Source organism: Homo sapiens, chromosome 9 (assembly GCF_000001405.40).
Source record: "Homo sapiens chromosome 9, GRCh38.p14 Primary Assembly".
In the NCBI taxonomy this organism is placed as follows: Eukaryota; Metazoa; Chordata; class Mammalia; order Primates; family Hominidae; genus Homo; species Homo sapiens.
The window spans coordinates 5,126,580-5,144,688 of NC_000009.12; the positions used below are offsets into that span (position 1 = coordinate 5,126,580).

Genomic DNA, 18,109 nt, shown 5'->3' on the forward strand with positions numbered 1-18,109 from the left:
GGCATGGTTATGACATGTGCCCTGTATTGAAAATTAATGTCTTCCACCAATTAAAAGATGGCCCTTAGTGTTCATTTAATTTTGGTTTATTTTCTCCTTTACAGATCTATATGATCATGACAGAATGCTGGAACAATAATGTAAATCAACGCCCCTCCTTTAGGGATCTAGCTCTTCGAGTGGATCAAATAAGGGATAACATGGCTGGATGAAAGAAATGACCTTCATTCTGAGACCAAAGTAGATTTACAGAACAAAGTTTTATATTTCACATTGCTGTGGACTATTATTACATATATCATTATTATATAAATCATGATGCTAGCCAGCAAAGATGTGAAAATATCTGCTCAAAACTTTCAAAGTTTAGTAAGTTTTTCTTCATGAGGCCACCAGTAAAAGACATTAATGAGAATTCCTTAGCAAGGATTTTGTAAGAAGTTTCTTAAACATTGTCAGTTAACATCACTCTTGTCTGGCAAAAGAAAAAAAATAGACTTTTTCAACTCAGCTTTTTGAGACCTGAAAAAATTATTATGTAAATTTTGCAATGTTAAAGATGCACAGAATATGTATGTATAGTTTTTACCACAGTGGATGTATAATACCTTGGCATCTTGTGTGATGTTTTACACACATGAGGGCTGGTGTTCATTAATACTGTTTTCTAATTTTTCCATAGTTAATCTATAATTAATTACTTCACTATACAAACAAATTAAGATGTTCAGATAATTGAATAAGTACCTTTGTGTCCTTGTTCATTTATATCGCTGGCCAGCATTATAAGCAGGTGTATACTTTTAGCTTGTAGTTCCATGTACTGTAAATATTTTTCACATAAAGGGAACAAATGTCTAGTTTTATTTGTATAGGAAATTTCCCTGACCCTAAATAATACATTTTGAAATGAAACAAGCTTACAAAGATATAATCTATTTTATTATGGTTTCCCTTGTATCTATTTGTGGTGAATGTGTTTTTTAAATGGAACTATCTCCAAATTTTTCTAAGACTACTATGAACAGTTTTCTTTTAAAATTTTGAGATTAAGAATGCCAGGAATATTGTCATCCTTTGAGCTGCTGACTGCCAATAACATTCTTCGATCTCTGGGATTTATGCTCATGAACTAAATTTAAGCTTAAGCCATAAAATAGATTAGATTGTTTTTTAAAAATGGATAGCTCATTAAGAAGTGCAGCAGGTTAAGAATTTTTTCCTAAAGACTGTATATTTGAGGGGTTTCAGAATTTTGCATTGCAGTCATAGAAGAGATTTATTTCCTTTTTAGAGGGGAAATGAGGTAAATAAGTAAAAAAGTATGCTTGTTAATTTTATTCAAGAATGCCAGTAGAAAATTCATAACGTGTATCTTTAAGAAAAATGAGCATACATCTTAAATCTTTTCAATTAAGTATAAGGGGTTGTTCGTTGTTGTCATTTGTTATAGTGCTACTCCACTTTAGACACCATAGCTAAAATAAAATATGGTGGGTTTTGTGTGTGTGTGTGTGTGTGTGTGTGTGTGTGTGTGTGTGTTATTTATACAAAACTTAAAATACTTGCTGTTTTGATTAAAAAGAAAATAGTTTCTTACTTTATTTTTACTGGTATGTTCTACTTTTTTGAAAGTTGTACTGAAGACTTCTGATTTTGGGTTGAAGGGAAGGAAAAGGAAGAAATGTTTTTTACATTCATTATTATACTTAAAGCATTTTTAAAGCATTTTAATAGTTCTGGATGCAGAAATCATCTAAAATGACAGTGAATTAGGTTTTAAAAAGATTTTAGATTTTTTTGAAAGTTTAATTTTTATTTGTAAAGACTCCTCAAGGATTTGTATATGCAACACAGTAAGGAGATCTTCCATTTTACTACCTTTCAAGTGAAAAATAGCCTATCATACAATATGCTTGATTTCAGATTTTCATACTAAAACTTAACTACATACTTAAAAGTAGGTTCTTATCAAGGGTCTCTAACATTGCTTTTTAAAACAAGATGTGAACTAACTTTTCTTAAACATTTTTTTAAATGCTTCATCTTTTAGTTTTATATAAAGAATCCCACATGTACATTCTTGTTTTTAGAATGGGGTGACTACCTTATTATAAAATTCCAAGTTTCCAAGAGACTTCTTTTCATTGAGGCTTCGTAAAGTTTTCCATTTTGATTCTGACTACACATAAAAATAAGATAACCCTGTAGTTATTAAGTTGGTTCTGTACAAGAAACAGGTAAGTAATTATTGTACCAGTTAATGCCAAAATATTTTTCACGTTAATATTCTTCAGAAACAAGGGTAAAGGTATTCTTAGAATTATGTAATTCTGTAACTATTCCAGTATATTAAGTTATACAATCTTTATATAAATGACTTTTTCCATGGGTACTTGTTTGGAAAATAGTCACTTTTTCACGCTATTTATATATGCTGCCAGTAACACTATAATTTGCTATGGAAGAGTGTTCTTTTAACCTAAGGCTTCTAGTTTACAGTCAAGTGTAATTTTCATCACAACTATAACTTCTGGTATTTAAATTTTATTTAAACAGCTACAAAAGAGTTAGCAAATACCTACAGTTCTGTATCTATAGAGCCAATCTTGATGGTGGGTGTGGCATTATGTGCTCACTTTATTGAGCCTATGTTAATTTCTTTAGCATGCTCCCCCTAAATTGAAATAGTGATGTAGTAAATATTCAGAAGCGATTTTCTTTTGCATTTTTACCTAACCAAGGAAACGGGCCACACACCTTGGTTTAGGGATGTTGTGATAGCTTACCTTCCAGTTTTTAAGAAATGCTTCCTACAACTGCTGTCAACCACTGTATTGTCTTTAATGAACACTGTTGTATCCCATCCTAATTCTTGTACTGAAATTATTTCTCATGAAAGTTTCTCTAATATTTCTAATGAAAGTTTCTCTAATTTGGGGGCATAATGTACTAAGAATCAGTTTGCTGTATATTAGAATAAATAGTAACAGTAAGTCAGCAGGATTATCCAAACAAAAGACTAGGTTTTATGAGATAAGCTTGATTTAAGAAAAAAACAATTAAAGTATGAATATCAGAAATACTGTGTGTTTACTCTCAGATTTTAGTTGGTTGGATTTAATATCAAGATAACTAGCTGCTAAGCGTTTCATAATTCTCACAGTGATATTAGATTTCAAAATGACACTGAGAGAACTGAAAAACTACATCAGTCAAATTCATGTATGTATATCATATAGCCTTTAACTTTTTACATTAATCAGATTCTTAGTAAAATGCAGACTGTATACCTAAATATTAAAATATTTACTTTTATAATCTTACCTTTTATTTCAATATAAATAAAATTCTTCTTAGGTTAAAAAATTAATTTCAGTTGTGTTTATGCCAGATGGCATTGCTTAGTTGGTGCAAGCTCTCAATATGTTTCATTCTTTTTTATAGTCTTTCACATTTATAAGGAAAAGCCTTATCTCCAACTGAAACACCAGTCTTACTACTACGGTTTTAAAAGTTGTTAATGATCATTATCTATTATAAGGCCTTTATTTACATAGCAAATTGCTTAACATTTTATTTTGAATATAACAGATTTTTAAAACGAGACCTTTAAAGGAGCTCTAAGAGTCCCTGTTCTAGTTATTTGTATTATAAGCTTCTGTGAATGTTTTAATTTTAATAGCAGTAGTAGGAAGATATATGGCAGTAGAAGCACTCATATACATGCTATTTATTGAGGTAAAGTAAATCATCTTTGAGCAGTGTGAACAGACAGAAGCATAGCTTTTAGATCTGAATTATTGGTAAATAACAGATAGATCAAGGTGGTATGGAAAAATGGTAGAGCAGGCATATTACAGAGACAACAGGCAGCTAAGAAGGCAAATTATCAGTTGCAGATGATAAGACTTGTCACAATAAGCACTAAAAACACAAAGTGTGAAATGGAAAAATCTGTTACCAGTTATTTATTTTCAAACACAGTTGTATACATAGATGAAAATGTTTAGGTGCTTTTCATACACAGATAATTAAGTACATGGTATTTAATAATAAAAAAGTTTAAGGTCCTCCAAATACTTGAGGTATATATTATGGAAACTCAGAGTATGAATTTTCTTTTTTTTATTTTTTTTATTTTTTATTTTTTTTTTTATTTTTTTTGAGACGGAGTCTCGCTCTGTCGCCCAGCCTGGAGTGCAGTGGCGCGATCTCGGCTCACTGCAAGCTCCGCCTCCCGGGTTCATGCCATTCTCCTGCCTCAGCCTCCCGCGTAGCTGGGACTACAGGCGCCTGCCACTACACCCGGCTAATTTTTTGTATTTTTTAGTAGAGACGGGGTTTCACTGTGTTAGCCAGGATGGTCTCGATCTCCTGACCTCATGATCCGCCCGCCTCGGCCTCCCAAAGTGTCGGGATTACAGGCGTGAGCCACCGCGCCCAGCCCGAGTATGAATTTTCTAAGAGCATGTAGTATAAGATTGTGAGTTGGAATTTATTTACTGAAATGAAAAACAATGAAGTTAAAGAAATCAAAGATACTAAAGCAAATGGAAAGATAAACCTAACAAGGCACTCAATAATGAAAATACTTAGTGGAATACTACTTGAAGTATACATATCATACTTTCTTCCTCTGCTTAATAATTTTGTTGAAGGCTGTTATTACAGTGAGCTTTTATTGGCTATCCTAAATTTTAAGTATATTAGAACAAAATTTATTATTATGTCCTTAGTAACATTTAAGACCCCTCAATTTTTTATTAGAGAAAAAAAGTTGTTTACAGAATCAAAGACTTCATCTTGATTTTTAAGAACAAATAGCTGAATTCTTTAACACCACCAGTTAACAATTTTTTTTTTTTTTTTTTTGAGACAGAGTTTTGCTCTTGTCGTCCAGGCTGGAGTGCAATGGCGTGATCTCGGCTCACTGCAACCTCCACCTCCTGGGTTCAAGTGATTCTCCTGCCTCAGTCTCCCGAGTAGCTGGGATTACAGGTGCCCGCCACCACGCCCGGCTAATTTTTTGTATTTACTAGTAGAGACAGGGTTTCACCGTGTTGGTCAGTCTGGTCTTGAACTCCTGACCTCAGGTGATCCAACCGCCTCAACCTCCCAAAGTGCTGGGATTACAGGCATGAGGCACTGCGCCCGGCCCAGTTAACAATTTTAATCTGCATAACCAAGGTATATAAGCCGTCATGTGCAGGCTGTAGGGAGCCCACAGCTAAACGACAATAATTGGATTGTATTGATTGATAGCACTTACTGACTACAGTTAAGAGGCATTTAAAAATTAAAATAATAGTATTTCCCACAAATTCTGCCAGAATTGTTTTTTTAAAGGCTGTTATAAATCCTTGTTTCTATCAATAATTTTGAAGACAGTGTGAATCTCATGGTACCACTTTTTTTTACCTTTATTACTTTTATAACTGCTTTGCAGTTTGTTGAATAGAAATTCTTGGTAATAGGAGTAAAGGTTGTTGTTGACAAAGAAACTTGAAACTGAGTTTTACCTTCTTATTGAAGGACTTTGAAAAATGTTGAAGTTGAATCCTAGAACAGTGAGCATACCATTATTCCTTAAGAAGGCACCATTCATTTTTAAAATTATTTCAGAGGAAGAAAATTCTAAAAATTGAGACTTTACTGTACAGAACAATCCTTTTCTAAAACATAGTTTGGAAATCTGAGATCTAAAGAATGATGAACATGGTGCTAGGAAAAAAGAATTTCAGTTTCTATCATCTAAGATCATTCACATTTAATGGGAATTTTTTTCAACATCTTTAATTTCTCTTATTTTAAAACTACTGTCCTAAATGTGGAAGGTGAGAGTATGGACAATACAATCAAATGCCAAAAATACCTTGGTTCTAGTAATTGCCTAGGCCATTCTCTCACAGTTGCTCCAACAACTTAGCTGTTTAACAATCAGATTCTTAGTAAAACATTTTTTCTTTTTCTTAAAAAAAAAAAAGACTATCCATATTGCATACCACTTCAGACTTTTCTACATAGACATTCACCCATCAATACTGACAGTGCAAGCTACGTACAACTTCAAGTTGCATCAGATAACTCATATTAATGGTTGTAGTAGTGAAACTGATCTCCTAAGTATGTTGATAAAGTCCTAAATCTTGTTCAACATATTAAGAATAAAGAAGAGTAGATAAACCAATTATGGATGTAGCAAAGGAATCCTGGATAATCTTACTTGAGGGTGAATCCTGATGGTGTATCAATTTAAAATTCCCTGTTAAACATTCAGACAAAATTAGAAGATTACAACTTTCAGTTCTGCTACCGCTCTGGGAATATGAGCCCTAATCATAGTTTTCAGGGAGCCTAATTTGGTGTGGCCTCAAATAATCTCATCATCCATAAAGATCCCAGAGGAAGGGTATGTTGGACCTGGGGTAGTGAGAGTTGGAATTTCATATATTCTTTCTAGGGCATGATTTTTTCAGCAGAGGTGTTATGCCTCCAAGAGTGTGAAAACTGATGTTGGAGGATGAAAAAATCATATAAAGCACAGAAATACAGTACATAAACAGATATGCAGTGATATTAGAGTGTCATGGTAGAGGAAATTAGGGAAAGATGTCTAAAATGTTCCTGGTGGGAAAGTTGGGGGAGGATAATGCAAAAAAAAAGTTGAGAAACACTACTTTAGAGTGTGCTCATATAGACATAGGTCAAACCAGCACTACCTCAGAAATAACCTCAATATGATAAGCAGATACGACAGTGTCAGAAAAGCTAAGAGTACTAGATCTTTAAATAAATACTGAGCCAAAAAAAATAGTTTACACATAATCTTTTTAAAAAGTTACCTTATGTCACTCATACAGGAAAGCTCTGGCTGGCATCTAGTGGGTGCCCCTCTGGGATGAAGCTTCCAGAGGAAGGAACAGGCAGCAATCTTTGCTGTTCTGCAGCCTCTGCTGGTGATACCCAGGCAAACAGCATCTGGAGTGGGCCTCCAGCAAACTCCAGCAGACCTGCAGCACAGGGGCCCGACTGTTAGAAGGAAAACTAACAAACAGAAAGGAACAGTATCAACATCAACAAAATGTCCACTCAGAGACCCCACCCAAAGGTCACCAACATGAAGACCAAAGGTAGATAAATCCACTAAGATGGGGAGAAACCAGCAAGAAAAGGGTGAAAATTCCAAATGCCAGAATGCCTCTTTTCCTCCAAAGGATCACAACTCCTCGCTAGCAAGGGAACAAAACTGGACTGAGAATGAGGTTGATGAATTGACAGAAGTAGGCTTCAGAAGGTTGGTAATTACAAACTCCTCTGAGCTAAAGGAACATGTTCTAACCCAATGCAAGGAAGCTAAGAACACTGAAAAAAGGTTAGACAAATTGCTAACTACAATAACCAGTTTAGAGAAGAACATAAATGACATAATGGAGCTAAAAAACAGCACGAGAACTTCATGAAGCATACACGAGTATCAACAGCTGAATCGGTCAGGCAGAAGAAAGGATACCAGAGATTGCAGATCAACTTAACGAAATAAAGCAAGAAGACAAGATTAGAGAAAAAAGAGTGAAAAGAAACTAACAAAGCCTCCAAGAAATATGGGACTATGTGAAAAGACCAAATCTACGTTTGGTGTACCTGAAAGTTGACAGGGAGAATGGAACCAAGTTGGAAAACACTCTTCAGGATATTATCCACGAGAACTTCCCCAACCTAGCAAGGCAGGCCAACATTCAAATTCAGGAAATATAGAGAACACCACAAAGATACTCCTCGAGAAGAGCAACCCCAAGACACATAATTGTCAGATTCACCAAGGTTGAAATGAAGGAATAAACGTTAAGGGCATCCAGAGAGAAAGGTCGGGTTACCCACAAAGGGAAGCCCATCAGACTAACAGCGGATCTCTCTGCAGAAACCCTACAAGCCAGAAGAGAGTGGGGGCCAACATTCAACATTCTTAAAAGAATTTTCAACCCAGTATCTCATATCCATCTAAACTAAGCTTCGTAATTGAAGGAGAAATAAAATCCCTCACGAAGAAGCAAATGCTGAGAGATTTTGTCACCATCAGGCCTGCCTAACAAGAGCTCCTGAAGGAAGCACTAAACATGGAAGGAACAACCGGTACCAGCCACTGCAAAAACATGCCAAATTGTAAAGACCATCGACACTATGAAGAAACTGCATCAACTAAAGGGCAAAATAATCAGCTAGCATCATAATGACAGGATCAAAGTCACACATAACAATATTAACCTTAAATGTAAATGAGCTAAACACCTCAATTAAAAGACACACACTGGCAAATTGGATAGAGTCAAGACCCATCAGTGTGCTGTGTTCAGGAGACCCAGCTCACATGCAAAGACACACATAGGCTCAAAATAAAGGAATGGAGGAACATTTACCAAGCAAATGGAAAGCAAGAAAAAGCAGGGGTTGCAATCCTAGTCTCTGATAAAACAGACTTTAAACCAACGAAGATCAAGAGACAAAGAAGGGCATTATATAATGGTAAAGGGAATCAATGCAACAAGAAGAGCTAACTATCCTAAATATATATGCACCCAATACAGGAGCACCCAGATCCATAAAACAAGTTCTTAGAGACGTACAAAGAGACTTACACTCCCACATAATAACAGTGGGAGACTTTAACACCCCACTGTCAATATTAAACAGATCAACGAGACAGAAAATTAACAAGGATATCCAGGACTTGAACTCAGCTCTGGACCAAGCAGACCTAACAGACATCTACAGAACTCTGCACCACATAATTGGAAGTAAAACACTCATCAGCAAATGCAAAAGAACAGAAATCATAACAGTCTCTCATATCAGAGTGCAATCAAATTAGAACTCAGGATTAAGAAACTCACTCAAAACCACACAACTACATGGAAACTGAACAACCTGCTCCTGAATGACTACTGGGGTAAATAACAAAATGAAGGCAGATATAAAGATGTTCTTTGAAACCAATAAGAACAAAGAAACAATGTACCAGAATCTCTAGGACACATTTAAAGCAGTGTGTAGAGGGAAATTTATAGCACTAAGTGCCCACAAGAGAAAGCAGGAAAGAGCTAACATTGACACCCTAACATCACAATTAAAAGAACTAGAGAAACAAGAGCAAACAAATTTAAAAGCTAGCAGAAGATGAGAAATAACTAAGATCAGAGCAGAACTGAGCAAGACAGAGACACAAAAACCCTTCAAAAAAAATCAATGAATCCAGGAGCTGGTTTTTTGAAAAAAATCAACAAAATAGATACACGGCTAGCCAGATTAATAAACAAGAAAAGAGAGAAGAATCAAATAGACTTAATAAAAAATGATAAAGGGGATATCACCATCAATCCCACAGAAATACAAACTACCATCGGGAATACTATAAACACCTCTATGCAAATAAACTAGAAAATCTAGAAGAAATAGATAAATTCCTGGACACATACACCCTCCCAAGACTAAACCAGAAAGAAGTCAAATCCCTGAATAGACCAATAACAACTTCTGAAAGTAATGAATTAATAGCCTACCAGCTAAAAAAAAGTCCAGGACCAGATGGATTCACAGCCAAATTCTACCAGAGATGCAAAGAGGACCAGTACCATTCCTTCTGAAAGTATTCCAAACAATTGAAAAAGAGGGAATCCTCCCTAACTCATTTTATGAGGCCAGCATCATCCTGATACCAAAACCTGGCAGAGACACAACAAAAAAAGAGAATTTTAGGCCGATATCCCTGATAAACACTGATGCGAAAATCCTCAATAAAATACTGGCAAACTGAATCCAGCAGCACATCAAAAAGCTTATCCACCATGATCAAGTCGGCTTCATTCCTAGGATGCAAAGCTAGTTCAACATACTCAAATCAATAAACGTAATCCATCACATAAACAGAAACAATGAGAAAAACAACATGATTATCTCAATAGATGCAGAAAAGGCCTTTGACAAAATTCTACAGCCCTTCATGCTAAAAAGTCTCAATAAACTAGGTACTGATGGAACATATCTCAAAATCATAAGAGCTATTTATGACAAACTCACAGCAAATATAATACTGAACGGGCAAAAACTGGAAGCATTCCCTTTGAAAACTGGCACAAGACAAGGATGCCTTCTCTCACCAGTCCTATTCAACATACTATTGGAAGTTCTGGCCAGGGCAATCAGGCAAGAGAAAGAAATAAAGGGTATTCAATTAGGAAAAGAGGAAGTCAAATTGTCTCTGTTTGCAGATGACATGATTGTATATTTGGAAAACCCCATCGTCTCAGCCCAAAATCTCCTTAAGCTGATAAGCAACTTGAGCGAAGTCTCAGGATACAAAATCAATGTGCAAAAATCACAAGCATTCTTATACACCAATAACAGACAAACAGCCAAATCATGAGTGAACTCCCATTCACAATTGCTACAAAGAGAATAAAATACCCAGGAATCCAACTTACAAGGGATGTGAAGGACCTCTTCAAGGAGAACTACAAACCACTGCTCAAGGAAATAAGAGAGGACACAAACAAATGGAAAAACATTCCATGCTCATGGATAGAAAGAATCAATATCATCAAAATGGCCATACTGCCCAAAGTAATTTATAGATTCAATGCTACCACCATCAAGCTACCTTTGACTTTCTTCACAGAACTGGAAAAAAACTACTTTAAATTTCATATGGAACCAAAAAAAAGAGCCTGCATAGCCAAGACAATCCTAAGCAAAAAGAACAAAGCTGGAGGCATCACACTACCTGACTTCAAACTACATTACAAGGCTATAGTAACAAAACAGCATGGTATTGGTATCAAAACAGATGTATAGACTAATGGAACAGAACAGAGGCCTCACAAATAACACCACACATCTACAACCACCTGATCTTTGACAAACCCTATTTAATATATGGTGGTGGGAAAATTGGCTAGCCATATGCAGAAAGCTGAAACTGGATCCCTTCCTTACACCTTATACAAAAATTAACTCAAGATGGATTAAAGACTTAAATATAAGACCTAAATCCATAAAAAACCTGGAAGAAAACCTAGGCAATACCATTCAGCACTTAGGCATGGCAAAGACTTCATGACTAAAACACCAAAAGCAATGGCAACAAAAGCCAAAATTGACATATGGGATCTAATTAAACTAAAGAGCTTCTGTACAGCAAAAGAAACTATCATCAGAGTGAACAGGTTACCTACATAATGGGAAAAAATTTTTGCAATCTACCCATCTGACAAAGGGCTAATATCCAGAATCTACAAAGAACTTACACAAATTTACAAGAAAAAAAACCCATAAAAAAGTAGGTGAAGGATATGAACAGACATTTCTCAAAAGAAGACATTTATGTGGCCAAAAAACATATGAAACAAAGCTCATCATCACTGGTCATTAGAGAAATGCAAATCAAAACCACAATGAGATATCATCTCATGCCAGTTAGAATGGTGATCATTAAAAAGTCAGGAAACAACAGATGCTGGAGAGGATGTGGAGAAATAGGAATGCTTTTACACTGTTGGTGGGAGTGTAAATTAGTTCAACCATTGTGGAAGATAGTGTGGCTATTCCTCAAGGATCTAGAGTTAGAAATACCATTTGACCCTGCAATTCCGTTACTGGGTATATACCCAAAGGATTATAAATCACGCTACTATAAAGATACATGCACACATATGTTTACTGCAGCACTGTTCACAATAGCAAAGACTTGGAACCAACCCAAATGCCCATCAGTGATAGACTGGATAAAGAAAATGTGGCACATATACACCATGGAATACTGTGCAGCCATCAACAAGGATGAGTTCACGCCCTTTGCAGGGACACAGATGAAGCTAGAAACCATCATTCTCAGCAAACTAACACAAGAACAGAAAACCAAACACCACATGTTCTCACTCATAAGTGGGAGTTGAACAATAAGAACATATGGGCACAGGGAGGGGAACATCACACACCTGGCCTGTTGGGCAGTGGGGGGCTAGGGAGCTATTGCATTAGGAGAAATGCCTAATGTAGATGACAGGTTGATGGGTGCAGCAAACCACCATGACACATGTATACCTATGTTAACAAACCTGCACTTTCGGTACATGTACCCCAGAACTTAAACTATAATAAAAAAAAATAATAAAAGTACTGAATCCCACTGATTTAATATCTAAAAAAATAGTTACCTAATTACAATCTCTAGAATTTAAAGATCTCCTTCCTAGATGCAAAAAGTGCCTCTTTTTTCAATTGAAATACATCCCCAAGTACTCTTCTGTCGGGTTGTTTTTATATAGTCACAAAAAAAATAAATATAATAATCCTCTCAAGAAAAGCAGGAGATTTTAACAATATGCACCATGTTAAAAAACATTTCTTGGTTGTTCAAGGAGATAATAAAGTATCTTTCACTATTAAAACCATATGTTATATTACTGTGTATTAAAATAAAAATAAAATTTCCTCAAACAGAACATTTTTGAGAAATAGGAAAGAAACTAATAATGCCAAATAAAGGTCATATCTTTGCTATGAAATTTACCCAGAAGACAATGTGCTCTTCTTCTTTGACTTAAAAATGCTGCCTTTTAAAAGAATTGGAGGCATTCTAATGGGTGTGTAGTATAGCATTGTGGCTTTGAAGTATATTTTTTTAATGATAAGCAATTTTTTCACGTGCAGTTTAGTGGCCATTTGTTCATAGTTGGATTACTACATCCTATCCATCAAACAAATTAATTGCACAACAATTTGATAAAATGTTGACAGTCTTTGTAGAAGGAGCAATGTAGGGGATAATACTGCCTTTTGCTAGATGACAAAGAAAGTTGAAAGTAAATGAATTTTTAAAAAGCTTGAACTGGATGACTTTTGCCTCAGAGTATTGGGTGAAAATAAAAAGAAGTGTTATTTAAATTAGACACTCTCAAGTCTAGACACATCCCTGGTTGCTTGAGGAAAGGAACCATATTTTCTAAAAGGTATCATATCTGCTACATGAAATATAACTAGAAGAGTGCTACTGGAGTGGTAGAAGAGAATCAGAGATTTAGTTGAAACCATTTATGAGCTATCTGAAGAAGCTAAGTCCAAAGAGGTTAGCTTGACTTGCTCACATCAAAGATCTGCTCAGGAACACAGCCAGGCTAGAGCCCAGCTCTTCTGATTCTGATTAGTGCTCATTATACAACAACATGCTAAATTATTTTATTTTTAAAGAAATGAGCCTAGGTTGTAAACAAACCACAAATTTTAATCATTTAACAAATCTTTTTTGAAAGCTTGTAGTGAACATGGCACTGCTAAATACTTTTGGTGAACAAAAATGTGTCAGATGTCTTTTCAAGGGATTGTTAGTTGAAAATAGACTGAAATGTATCTTTAGAAAGCATTACAAAGATGACTTGCAAATAACTGGGAAAAAACCCACAACATTAAATAGTACATTTCTAAAAAGAAGTTTATTCTGATGAATTTACAGAAGCAAATGACAGGTAAAATTGAAGCAGCATTAGTTATGCATTTAGGAAATATATTTAATCTATTTAAGTCAAATCAATAACCTGGGAAATATTAACCTAGAATCAATACTGCAAAACCATTTTGTATAAAAGTGAATGACACCAACTAAAGCCATATATAAGAACATTCACAGCTATCAGATCAGAACTCTCAGGCAGAACTCATCATATTTTCTCCAAAAAGCAGCCACCATCCCTAATGTACCTAATCATAATAATGACACCACACTTATATTAGTCATCAGAGCTCCGAAACCCTAAGTAAAAACTTTTGACTCATTTTTATTACTTGCACTTTCTTTCCATTCTCTTTCAATGCTTCATCAGTCTCTTCTTTTACACTCCCCCATAATTTTGTGTTGTGATTATTATGATAACCTTCTAATTAGTCTTCCTACCTTCTCTCATTAGTCTTGCACATCACTATTAGGTCATTCTTCCCAAAGCACTATTATAACCATGTCATTCTTTTGCTCAAAAGCTTTCCAACTTTCTCCATTTCCTACAGGATAAAGTCCAACATCCCAGACTGTCACCAGTGGCAGAGCCAGATATTAACTTCAAAAGTAAGGAAACCTGGGGTGGGGATTCATTTTTTTTTCCCCTTAATTTTAAGTTCAGGGTACATATGCAGGTTTGTTACACAGGTAAACTTGTGCCATGGGGGTTTGCTGTACAGATTATTTTGTCACCTAGGTATTAAGCCTAGTTATTTTTTCTGGTCTTCTCCCTCATCCCACCCTCCACCCTCTAATAGGCCCCTGTATGTGTTGTTCCCCTCTTTGTGTCCCTGTATTCTCATCATTTAGCTCCCACTTATAACTGAGAACATGCGGTATATGGTTTTCTGCTTCTACATTAGTTTGCTAAGGATAATGGCCTCTAGCTCCATCCATGTCCCTGCAAAGGACATGATCTCATTCCTTTTTATGCTGCATAGTACTCCATGGTGTATATGTACCACATTTTTTTAATCCAGTCTATCACTGACGGACATTTAGGTTGATTCCATGACTTTGCTATTGTGAATATGTTGCAATGAACATATGCATGCGTCTTTATAATAGAATGATTTATATTTCTTTGTGTATATACCCAGTAATGGAATTGCTGGATCAAATGGTATTTCTGCCTCTAGGTCTTTGAGGAATAGCCACCCTGACTTCCACAATGGTTGAACTAATTTACACTCCTACCAGCAGTGTAAAAGTGTTCCTTTTTCTCCACAACCTCACCAGCATATGTGTTTTGACTTTTTAATCATAGCCACTCTTATTGGCATGAGATGGTATCTCATCGTAGTTATGATTTACGTTTCTCTAATGATCAGTGATGTTGAGCTTTTTTTCATACGATTGTTGGCCACATGTATGTCTTCTTTGAAAAGTGTCTGTTCATGTCCTTTGCTCACTTTTTAATGTTTTTTCCCTTGTAAATTTAATGGGTTTTTTCTTTTAAATTTGTTTCTAAGTTCCTTATAGATGCTGGATATTAGACCTTTGTCAGATGCATAGTTTGCAGAAATTCTCCCCCATTCTGTAGGTTGTGTGTTCACTGTGATGATAGTTTCTTTTGCTGGGCAGAAGCTCTTTAGTTTAATTAGATCCCATTTATCAATTTTTGCTTTTGTTGCAATTGGTTTTGTCATCTTCACCATTAAATCTTTGCCCATGCCTATGTCCTGAACGGTATTGCCTAGGTTGTCTCCCAGAGTATTTACAGTTTTGGGATTTATATTTAAGTATTTAATCCATTTTGTGTTAATTTTTGTATATGGTGTAAGGAAGGGGTCCAGTTTTAATCTGCATATGGCTAGCAAGTTATCCCAGGAGGATTTATTGAATAGGTAATCCTTTAGCCATTGCTTGTTTTTGTCAGGTTTGTCGAAAATCAGATAGTTGTAGGTGTGAAATCTTATTTCTGTGTTCTCTATTCTGTTCCATTGGTTTATGTGTCTGTATTTATACCAGTACCATATTATTTTGGTTACTATGGCCCTTTAGTGCAGTTTGAAATAGGGTAGCATGATGCCTCCAGCTTTGTTCTTTTTGCTGAGGAATGCCTTGGCTATTTGGCTCTTTTTTGGTTCCATGTGAATTGTAAAAGTTTTTGCTAATTCTGTGAAAAATGTCAATGGTAGCTTAACAGGTATAACACTGAATCTGTAGATTGCTTTGGGCAGTAGGGCCATTTTAACTATATTGATTCTTCCTATCCATGAGCCTGGAATGTTTTTCCATTTGTTCATGTCATCTCTGATTTCTTTGAGCAGTTGTTTGTAGTTCTCCTTACAGAGATCTTTCATTTTCTTAGTTAACTGTATTTCTAGCTATTCTAACTGTGAATGGGAGTTTGTTCCCGATTTGGCTCTCAACTTGAGGTGTTGTTAAGTGTACTGAAATGCTAGTGATGTTCTGCAAATTGATCTTGTATCCTGAGGCTTTGCTGAAGCTGTTTATCAGCTTAAGAAGCTTTTGGGCTGAGACTATGGGGTTTTCCAGATATAGGATCGTGTCATCTACAAACAAAGATAATCTGACTTCCTCTCTTCCTATTTGAATACTCTTTCTTTTTCTTGCCTGATCACCCTGGCCAGAACTTCCAGTACTATGTTGAATAGGAGTGGGGAGAGAGGGCATCCTTGTTTTGTGCCAGTTTTCAAGGAGAATGCTTCAAACTTTTACCCATTCAGTATGATATTGGCTGTGGGCTTGTCATATACGGCTCTTGTTATTTTGAGGTATATTCCTTTCAATACCTAGTTTATTGACAGTTTAACATGAATGGATGTTAAATTTTCTTGAAAGCCTTTTCTGCATCTATTGAGATAATCATGTGGTTTTTATCTTTAGCTCTGTTTATGTGGTCAATCACATTTACTGATATGCTTGAACCAACCTTTCATCCCAGGGATAAAGCCTACTCGATTGTGATTGATTAGCTTTTTGATGTGCTGCTGGATTCCGTTTGCCAGTATTTTGAGGATTTTTGTACTGATGTTCATCAAGGATATAGGCTTGAAGTTTTCTTTTTTTTGTATTTCTGCCAGGTTTTGGTATCAGGATGATGCTGACCTCATAGAATGAGTTACAGAGGAGTTCCTTCTCCTCAATTTTTTTTTTTTAATAGTTTCAGTAGGAATGGTACCAGCTCTTCTTTATACATCTCGTATAATTCAGCTGTGAATCCGTCTGGTCCTGGGCCTTTTTTGGTTGCAGGCTCTTAATGCTTCAACTTCAGAGCTTGTTAGTGGTCTATTCAGGGATTCAATTTCTTCCTTGTTCAGTCTAGGGAGGGGGTATGTATCCAGGAATTTATCCATTTCTTCTATGTTTTCCAGTTGATTTCCATAGAGGTGTTCATAATATTATCTGATGGTTGTCTGTATTTCTGTGGGGTCAGTGGTAATAACCCCCCTGTCATTTCTGATAGTGCATATTTGAATTTTCTCTCTTTGCTTCTTTTTTAGTCTAGCTACTGGTCTATCTATTTTATTAGTTTTTTCAAATAAACAGCTCCTGGATCCTGGATTTGTTAATCTTTTTTTTTTTTTTCAGATGAAGTCTCACTCTGTTGCCCAGGCTGGAGTGCAGTGGCATGATCTCAGCTCACTACAACCTCCACCTGCTGGGTTCAAGCGATTCTCCTGCCTTAGCCTTCCAAGTAGCTGGGATTACAGGCACCCACCCCCACACCCTGCTAATTTTTGTATTTGTAGTAGAGACAGGGTTTCACCATGTTGGCCATGCTGGTCTCGAACTCCTGACCTCAGGTAATACACCCGCCTCAGCCTCCCAAAGTGCTGGGATTACAGGCGTAAGCCACTGCACTGGCCAATTGGTTGATCTTTCGAATCATTTTTCCTGTCTGTATCTCCTTCAGTTTAGCTCTGATTTTGGTTATTTCTTGTCTTCTGCTAGCTTTGGAATTTGTTTGCTCTTGGTTCTCCAGTTATTTTAGTTGTGATGTTAGGTTGTTAACTTGAGATCTTTCTAACTTTTTGATGTGGGCATTTAGTGCTACAAACTTCCCTTTTAATACTGCCTTAGCTGTGTCCCAGAGATTCTGATATGTTGTTATCTTTCTTCTCATTAGTTGCAAAGAATGTCCTGATTTCTCCTTCATTTCATTATTTACCCAAAAGCCATTCAGGAGCAGGTTATTCAATTTCCATGTAATTGTATGGCTTTGAGTGAATTTCTTAGTAGTGATTTCGAATTTTATGGCACTGTGGTACGAGAGACCGTTTGTATGATTTCAGTTCTTTTGTATTTGCTCAAGAGTGTTTTACTTCTGATTACGTAATTGCTTTTAGAGTATGCCAAGTGGTGATGAGATGAATGTATATTCTGTTGTTTCGGGGTATCTATGAGGATCCATTTGATCCGGTGCTGAGTTCAGGTCCTGTATATCTTTGTTAATTTTCTGTCTTGATGATCTAATATTGTCAGTGGGGTGTTAAAGTCTCCTATTATTGTGTGGCGGTCTAAGTCTCTTTGAAAGTCTCCAAGAATTTGCTTTATGAGGGTGTTCCTGTGTTGGGTGCAAACATATTTAGGATAGTT

At 35.9% G+C, this 18,109-nt stretch overlaps 2 protein-coding genes across 10 annotated transcripts in view; one reads left to right on the forward strand and one right to left on the reverse strand.

The window, feature by feature from the left end:
- The window catches only part of JAK2 (Janus kinase 2), a 145,559-nt gene extending 142,190 nt beyond the window's left edge, over positions 1-3,369 (forward strand). For all 9 annotated transcript variants that reach the window (NR_169763.1, NR_169764.1, NM_001322194.2 and 6 more), the window contains one exon: positions 105-3,369. Coding sequence is in view for 7 of the 9 variants with exons in the window: in NM_001322194.2 (NP_001309123.1) it covers positions 105-212 (108 nt within the window). In the remaining 2 variants the exon portion in view is untranslated. The remainder of the gene's footprint in view (positions 1-104) is intronic.
- The window catches only part of INSL6 (insulin like 6), a 193,664-nt gene that overhangs the window by 134,604 nt on the left and 40,951 nt on the right, over positions 1-18,109 (reverse strand). The gene's annotated exons all lie outside the window — the stretch shown is intronic.